The following is a 9994-nucleotide window of genomic DNA, read 5'->3' on the forward strand; positions in this document are numbered from 1 at the left end:
GTAGCTGAGACTACAGGCACATACCACCACACCTGGCTAATTTTTGTATTTTTTGTAGGACGGGGTTTTGCCATGTTTCCCAGGCTGGTCTCAAACTCCTGAGCTCAGGCAATCACCTGCCTCAGCCTCCAAAAGTGCTGGAATTACAAGCATGAGCCACTGTGCCCAGCCTAATTTGTTTAAAATGCATTTAAATGTGGCTGATTAACAACATGAGTTTATCTTTATTTCATGAACCTGAGTGCATAAGCAAACTGGAGGGTATAAAAGACAATAGAGGAGAATATAGAAGCAGACATGAGATGTCAAGTTTTTGGTGGTGAGAAAATAGAAGAGTGGTGACTGACTTAGCAGAGCCTGCAGAAAAGTATACTGGCACAAGGATGTTCCTGGGAAGACAGAGGCCTTGGAGACAGTGGGCATTATGGAAGAAAGAGGGCTGAAAATGGGGATTCATTGAAATTCTAATGTCAGATCCTTAGACCCCCTCACCTACCCATACAGCTGGCTGTTACGCACACATTCCTCCCTCATGCCTTTCTTCATCCCATTACCCTTTCCTCATCCCAAAGGAGACTAGAGGTTTATTCTCTGGTGAAGGACCGGTCTCCCAATGTGCTGGGATTACAGACATGAGCCACCATGTCCGGCCAGGAGCAGCCCTGTATATTATATCAGCTTTATGACAAATTCCCAAATTTGTCCTTACTTTTCTCACTTCACTATGTGCCAGTAAAAATTTCATGTCATGTTAGTGATTTGTGGATTGACTTTGGTGTCCTTGATTCCAGAGTTGTTCTAGAATCAGGGACACCAGACAGTAGAGACTGGGGTAAAAATATGGCTGAAATGGGGACTAATGTAAGGCTGCATATTGAACTGTGGGGCCCTCAGCACTCTTTTCTAATGAAAACCAAGTTTTCATCCCTTCAACCATCTTCCGTCCAACCCCAGCAGGAGATTGGAGGAATCCTCTGGGGAAACTAGTTGGCAGGCTGGGCGTGGTGGCTCATGCCTGTAATCCTAGCACTTTGGGAGGCCAAAGCTGGTAGATCTCCTGAGCTCAGAAGTTCAAGACCAGCGTGAGCAACATGGTAAAATCCCATCTCTACCAAAAATACGAAAATTTAGCCAGGCATGGTGGCATGCACCTGTGGTCCCAGCTACTCAGGAGGCCGAGGGGGGAGGATCGCTTGAGCCTGGAAGGCAGAGGTTGCAGTGAACCAAGATTGCTCTACTGCACTCCAACCTAGGTGACAGAGTGAGACTCCATCTCAAAAAAAAAAAGAAAGAAAGAAAAAGAGAGAAGAAAGAGAAAGAAAAAAAGAAAGAAGGAAAGAGAAAAAGAGAAAGAGAGAAAGAAAGGAAAGAAAGAAGAAAAAGAAACTGGATGGCTCCAAAGAAAAGGTACTGACATTTGTGGATACTTCAGTGAAACATAGAGGTCAATTTACTGTATTAGTCCACTTTCACACTGCTATAAAGAAATACCAAAGACTGGGTAATTTATAAAGGAAAGAGGTTTAATTGACTCACAGTCCCACATGGCTGGAGAGGTCTCAGGAAACTTACAATCACGGCAGAAGGAGAAGGAGAAGCAAATCCTTCACGAAGTGGCAGGAGAGAGAAAAGTGAAGGAGGAACTTCCGAACACATAAAACCATCAGATCTCGTGAGAACTTACTATCACAAGAACACCATGGGGGAAATTACCCCGTGATCCAATCACCTTTCTCCCTTGACTCATGGGGATTACAAATTGAGATGAGATTTGGGTGGGGACACAGAGCCAAACCATATCGATGGCCTAAACAGCCTGCACGTAAAGACCAAGCTTCCAGTCTCCATAAAGAGAAGAGAAAATGAATGGTAGGAAATTCATACATATACACAAGACAGTTTTTCAGAATCAAAGGACACAAATATTCAGATTAAAAGGGTCATCTGTCTGCCCAGCACACTCATTACCAGTAGCTAACATTTATCATTGATTTACAATGTGCCAGACACTGTTATAAGTGCTTTATACATTTCAACTAATTTAATTCTCAAAATCTTCTGAAGTGAATGCTAATATTATTCCCATTTCACAGATGAGGAGATAGAGACATATAGAAGTTAAGCAGGTAAGGACACCCAGGTAGTAAATGGCAGATCTGGGATTTGAATCCAGGCAATCTGCTTTTCAAAAGAACCCACATCAAGGAACATAATGATGAAGAATTAAATACACAGAGCAAAAGAAAACACCCTAAAGCCTCCTGGGGCAAGATGATAGGTCATTTGCCTTTACGGGAAGCAGAAAAAACTTTAGACTTCTCACAGCAATAATTGAGCAATGTCTTCAAAATGTTGAGAAAATGGGCAGGGCACAGCAACTCACGCCTGTAATCCCAACACTGGGAGGCTGAGGCAGGAAGATCACTTGAGGCCAGGAGTTTGAGACCAGCCTGGGAAAACACATTGAGACCCTATCTCTACAAAAAATAGGAAAATTGGCTGGGTGTGGTTGCATGTGCCTGTCCTCCTAGCTGCTCTGGAAGCTGAGGCAGGAGGATGGCTTGATCCCAGGCATTTGAGGCTGCAGTGAACCATGGTCACACCACTGCACTCTAGCCTGGGCAACAGAGTGAAACCCTGTGTCTTAAAAAAAAAAAAAAAAAAAAGATTTCTTGAGAAAAATGACTTTCAGCCTAGGGTTCTATGCCCAGCCAACTACCAATCAAATGTGAGGGCAAAATAAAAACATTTGATATGCCAGGTGTCAAAATTTGCCTTCTCTGCACCCTTTCTTAGCAAGCTGGAGGAGGATGTGCTCTATCAAGACAAGGGAGTAAACATGAAAAAGAGGCAGTCAAAGGATCTAGAGAGCAAGTGCTTCCAACCAGGAGGGCAGAAAATAGACTCCATTTTTAGACTCATGAAGTGAGATAATTAATACCTAGTATCTGGGATTCATGTAAAAACACTCCTAAGATAGACACTTATTTTAATTTCCTTCCAGTTTTATTTGTGTGTGTCATTCCATTTTTACATTTAAAAATATTTTACTTATCACTTCATACAGAATTTTTTTTTTCGTTTTCAAATTCTAGAGTATCTTTGTGTTTTATTTTCTTAGAATATTTTTCTGACTTTTCTGGATGTTAGCATAACTGATAAGGTTATTTCCTACATTTTGAGTTAGTGTTTTTACATCCAATGCAATTAAAGATCTAAACATTTCTTTTCTTTCCTTATTTTGAGACGGAGTTTCGCTCTTGTCACCTAGGCTGGAGTGCAACGGCGTGATCTCGGCTCACCGCAACGTCTGCCTCTCGGGCTCAAACAATTCTCATGCTTCAGCCTCCCAAGTAGCTGGGATTACAGGCACCCACTATTACACCTGGATAATTTTTGTATTTTTAGTAGGGACGGGGTTTCACCATGTTGGCCAGGCTGGTCTCGAACTCCTGACCTCTGGTGATCTGCCCACCTCAGCCTCCCAAAGTGCTGGGATTACAGGCGTGAGCCACCTCACCCAGCCTAAACATTTCTGCTTTGCAAATTTCTAATCAATTATCCAAAGACCCTGCATTTTATGTCATCCCTTCTTAATTGATTGTGTATGTCAACACACTCTATATACATCTACATATATGACCTTATTCAGAACTACATCATCCCTACAAAGTGGGATGGAATTGTTTTTCACTCAATATTAAATTGTTCCCAGATCTTAAGCATTCATAGCAGAGTGATAAAGAGCTTGAGCTCAAGAATCGTTAAAAATTACATTCAAATCCCAGCTTGATCACACCCTACCTTTGTGATCTTAGTCAAATTACTTAATTTTTCTTAGTCTTATTTTTCCATTTGTAAAGAGGCATTTGTAATAGGCACTACACAACAGGTTTATTATACCAGCCATATTCAACGACTCAAAAATAAAAGCTAATGTTGTATTTTGTGTTTTTTACTTGTTATAAAAAAGTAAATGCTCGTTTATGAAAGCACAGAGATAGGTAAAGAAAACAAACATGACAGAACCTAGATGTTAGCAATGTTAAAACTTTGAGGCAAAAAGACAAATACTGTATGATTCTACTTATATGAGGTATCTAGGGTAGTCACACTAGTAGAGACAGAAAGTAGAATGGTGGCTGAGGGAAAAGGAAAAAGAAGAATTGTTGTTTAATGGGTATAGAGCTTCATATTTGCAAGATGAAATTCTAGAGATGTTTCACAATAATGTGAATACACTGAACACTACTAAACTGTACACTTAAAAATGATTAAGATGGGCCAGGCACAGTGGCTCACACCTGTAATCCCAACACTTTGGGAGGCCTAGGGGAGTGCATCAACTGAGGTCAGGAGTTCAAGACCAGCCTGGCCAACATGGCGAAACCCTGTCTCTACTAAAAGTACAAAAAAAATTAGCCAGGCGTGGTGGTGGGTGCCTGTAATCCCAGCTACTCAGGAGGCTGAGGCAGGACAATTGCTTGAATCTGGGAGGCAGAAGTTTCAGTGAACCGAGATCGCTCCACTGCACTCCAACCTGGGCAACAAGAGCAAGACTCCATCTCAAAAAGAAAAAAAAAATGATTACGATGGTAAATTTTATGGTATGTGGTTTTCATCACAATAAAAAATTTGGAGTATTTCTTTCCAGCAGACACATATTAGTACCCAGTTATGAAAATTTTTTCAAACTCACGTGTGCTAATGCCTGTAGGGAAAAGAAAGAGAGATCAGACTGTTACTGTGTCTATGTAGAAAGGAAAGACATAAGAGACTCCATTTTGAAAAAGACCTGTACTTTGCACAATTGCTTTGCTGAGATGTTAATTTGTAGCTTTGCCCCAGCCACTTTGACCCAACCTGGAGTTCACAAAAACATGTGTTGTATGAAATCAAGGTTTAAGGGATCCAGGGCTGTGTAGGACGTGCCTTGTTAACAAGATGTTTACGAGCAGTATACTTGGTAAAAGTCATTGCCATTCTCTAGTCTCAATAAACCAGGGGCACAATGCACTGCGGAAAGCCGCAGGGACCTCTGCCCTTGAAAGCGGGGTATTGTCCAAGGTTTCTCCCCATGTGATAGTCTGAACTATGGCCTCGTGGGATGAGAAAGACCTGACTGTCCCCCAGCCCAACACCCATAAAGAGTCTGTGCTGAGGTGGATTAGTAAAAGAGGAAAGCCTCTTGCAGTTGAGATAGAGGAAGGCCACTGTCTCCTACCTGCCCCTGGGAACTGAATGTCTCGGTATAAAACCCGATTGTACATTTGTTCAATTCTGAGATGAGAGAAAAACCGTCCTGTGGTGGGAGGCAAGACATGTTTACAGCAATGCTGCCTTGTTTTTCTTTACTCCACTGAGATGTTTGGGTGGAGAGAAACATAAATCTGGCTTACGTGCACGTCCAGTCATAGTACCTTCCCTTGAACTTAATTATGACATAGATTCTATTGCTCACATGTTTGTTGCTGACCTTCTCCTTATTATCACCCTGCCCTCCTACTACATTCCTTTTTGCTGAAATAATGAAGATAATAATCAATAAAAACTGAGGGAACTCAGAGACCGGTGCCGGTGCAGTTCCTTGGTATACTGAGCGCCGGTCCCCTGGGCCCACTGTTGTTTCTCTATACTTTGTCTCTGTCTTATTTCTTTTCTCATTCTCTCATCCCACCTGACTAGAAATACCCACAGGTGTAGAGGGGCAGGCCACCCCTTCAATGCCATATCATCTCTTCACCGACCTTTCCCAATCACGTGCTCCTTTCCCTACCCAGCTTTTGGTCATGATTTTGCAAACACCCTCAACTCCAAGTATGTATGTTGCTAAGACTCAAATTTATATTTCCAGCCCCAAATTCTGTCTGCACTTGAGACTCCTAGTGCATACTTCATTCTTGGATATGTATTAGGCATCTCAAATTTAATAGGTCCATTTCTGAACCTGCTCTATGCCCTATATTTCCTGCCTCAGTAAATGGGAACACTCAGTTGCCCAAGCAGAAATTCCCAGAATCATCCTTGACTCCTCTTTCTTTAACGCTCTTCATTCAACCCATCAGAAAATTCTGTGAGTTGAATCTTCAAAATATATCTTTTCTCATCATCTCCACTGCTACCACTTAGTCCAATTCACCATTCTCTCACTTGGCTTCCTGAACACTTGCATCCCCCACAGTTTATTATCCTCCAGATAGCAGCCAAATGACTGTATTAAAACATAAATCAGATTATGCTGTTTCTCAGTTCTAAAGTCTTCAAAGGCTTCCCATTTCTCTCAGAATAGATCCAAGTTCATACCATGGTTTGCCTCAAGCCATCCTGGATTCCTTGCCAGTCCATGCATATGCCCACACATGCTTTCACCTCGGGGACTTTTTCTTCTGCTAAGATGCTTGCTTTCTCCAGGTATCAATAGGGTCCACTTCCTGACTTCTTTTAGGTCTCTGTTCAAATTGCATCTTATCAGAGGGATGTTCCTTGATTACCCTCTATAAAATAGCTCCCCACTTCTTATAGATATTCACTTTTGGATGGATTATATTTTATTATGCTTTTCCCCCTCTTTGCTAATCTGAAGTTGCATGCTCTGCTTCTGTTCTTTTAGTTCTGAAAGATACAACATACGTTCTTTAAAAACTTTATTAAATTACAATATTAATACAGAAAATTACACATATATATATAGAGAGAACTATCTTGATGAATCTTCAAAATTAAACATACCTGTGTAACCACCTCGTGGATTAAGAACAGAAATTATAGCATTCCAGAAGCCACCGGAGCCCCCCAACTTCCAGTCACTACCCTAAAAAGGGTTACTTCTAACACCATAGATTAATTTCACCTGCTTTTGTACTTTTAAATAATGGAATCACACTGTGTGTATTCTTCTATGTCAGGCTTCTTCTGCTCAAAACTATGTTTGTGAGCTTCATTAATATTGTGTGTAGTTGTTTATTTTCATTGCTGTGTATACTTGATTATGTGAATATACCGATATTTATTTACCCATTCTACTGCTGACAGGCTGCTATGAACATTCTAGTATATGTCTTTTAGGGAACATATTTATGCATTTCTGTTGAGTATATACCCAGGGGCAGGATTGCTGGGTCATATTATTCAGCTTCAGTAGATACTGCCAAATACTTTTCCAAAACAGTTGTATGTACCAATGTATAGTCTCACTAGCAGTATCTGAAAAATCTAGTTCTTAATTTTAATCTATGTTAATGTATCATTTTTTCTTTATGTTTAGTACTTTCTATAGCATGTAATAAATCTGTGCCTATATTAAGGTTGTAAAAACATTCTCTGATTTTCTTCTAAAAAGTTTTATTATTTTATATTTAGATCTGCAATCCATTTGGAATATTTTTGTATATGTTGTAAACCAGGAGTTAATATGAATATCCAATTGATCCAGCACCAATGTATTAAAAACACCTTCCTTTCCCCACCCCTGTCATATGCAAGGTGGTGGTCTATGTGTATGTCTGCATCTGGACTCTATTCCCTTCATTGCTCAGTTGATCTATTCTTACACCAATAGCTACCTCATTGTCTTAGTTACTATAATTTTATATTTGGTCTTCATATTCAGTAATATGCCCTTCCAGCTAAAAATACGTATAAAAATTCCAGCCAAAAAATGGCTGGGCCTAGTGGCTCACACCTGTAATCCCAGCACTTTGGGAGCCCAAGGCAGGCAGATCACTTGAGACCAGGAGTCTGAGACCAGCCTGGCCAACATGACAAAACCCTTCTCTACTAAAAACACAAAAATTAGCTGGGCATGGTGTCACTCACCTGTAATTTCAGCTACTCAGGAGGCTGAGGCATGAGAATCGCTTGAACACAGGAGGCGGAGGTTGCAGTGAGCTGAGATGGCACCACTGCACTCCATCCTGGGCAACAGAGAGAGAATCTGTCTCAAAAAAAAAAAAAAATACACACACACACACACACACACACACACACACACATACATATACTCAATATGCTATATCTATTTTTTAAACCTCATGGATTATTGTGGATTATTGAGATTTTTAGTCTATTATTTATGTTCATTTAGATTTAGTCATGTTTTTTACTTTGTTCTGTTTTTACTGCACCAGGCAAGTGGACCCCAGTTTGGTTCTATAACAATTTGTAGTTTTACTATAATGCGTGGATTTCTTCTACTAGGTGTAGATTTCTTTGACTAGATAAATAAAAGGGTTTCTTTTATTTATCCCACTAGAGAGTTATATGGCATCTTATATCTGTGACCTGGTTCCTTTCATAGGTACTAAAAATATTCAGCCCTTATTTCTTCAAATACTGTCTCTGCCCTAGCTTTATCTCTCGTTAAACTTAGTTCGATCCTCTTACTGTATTCTCTATCTCTCTTACTCTGTCTTCTGTAGGGTACATTTTTTGTTTCTCAATGCTTTATTCTAGATAATTTCTTGTGACCTACCTTCCTTTCAATTTATTCTACATTCAGCAGTGTCTAATCTGCCATTAACTGAGTTCTTAATTTAGTTACTGTATTTCTCAATCATAGAAGAGAAGTCTATTTACTTCTTTTTTTAAATCTGCTCTATCACTTTGTATAGTTTTTAGGTACCTGCCAAAATTGTCCAAGTTATCTTTTTTATTTCTTCAGGCAAAGAAAATATGATTTTATTTTACTTTTTTTCCTAAAAACTCTAATAGGTAAGCAAGAAAATATACATATGTTTTAAGCCAGGGTCTTGCTCTGTCACCCAGGCTGAAGGGCAGTGGTATGATCGTGACTTACTGCAGCATCAACCTGCTGGGCTCAAGCGATCCTCCCATCTCAGCCTCTTGAAGAGCTGGGACTTCAGGGCTGTGCCACCATACCTGGCTAATTTTTGATATTTTGTAGAGACAGGGTTTTGCCATGTTGCCCAGGCTGGTCTTGAACTCCCGAGCTCAAGCAATCCACCTGCCTTGGCCTCCCAAAGTGCTGGGATTATAGACATAAACCACTGTGTCCAGCCCAAGAAAATATTATTTTGCGGTTTGCATCAAATAATTCTAAAAGCAGTTGTTTCTGCAGGTCTATTTCCAATGTTTGTGTTTCTGCTGGTTCTCACTAAGAATCTAGTTTCTTTGTGTACCTGGTTATCTTTAATTCTGTATTTGACATTGTCTATGAAAACTTATGTGTAGGAAAAATGTCGGCCCTACAATTATAAGGCTTTCCTCCACCTATTTGCTTTTGCCAAGCATCTGGTGACACCATAGTCAGAGACAGTCTTAAACCAAGATAATGTCTGAGACAGGCAATTTGATGCAGTCTGTAAATTCCTTTTAAGCTGTTCCATTTTCAATTCATCCTCACCCTGAGGCTGTTGCCCTTTGGGGTCCCAGTTATTGTAAGGAGGGTCTTCTTCTTCTTCTTCTTTTTTTTTTTTTTTTGAGATGGAGTTTTGCTCTTGTCGCTCAGGCATGGAGAAACCCCATCTCTACTAAAAATACAAAATTACAGGCATGGTGATGCGTGCCTGTAATCCCAGCTACTCTGGAGGCTGAGGCAGGAGAATCACTTGAACCCGGGAGGCAGAGGTTGCGGTGAGCCAACATCGCGCCACTGCACTCCAGCTTGGGCAACAAGAGCGAAACTCCGTCTCAAAAACAAATTTATATATTATATATATATGTATATATATATACACATACACACACACACACACACACACGTATTCCAGAATTTTATTTTTAAATTTTATTGTTGTTTTCTACAGTGGGTTGATACAAATATCCTAGCCCATCATCTCCCCACCCTGCTTTCCTTTTCTTCATGGTCCTCACAATCGCCTGGGGTATTATCTATTTATTTTTCTATTTGTTATTGTCAATTAATTTCAATGTAATTAAGTTCCAAGAAAGCAGGAACTGCGTTTTGTTAACTGCTGTATACGCAGGGCCAATAAGAATGTGGGGGTAGATCTTACACACTCAGAATAGATAACTG

The sequence above is a fragment of the Homo sapiens genome, chromosome 1 (assembly GCF_000001405.40).
Source record: "Homo sapiens chromosome 1, GRCh38.p14 Primary Assembly".
Taxonomy (NCBI): Eukaryota; Metazoa; Chordata; class Mammalia; order Primates; family Hominidae; genus Homo; species Homo sapiens.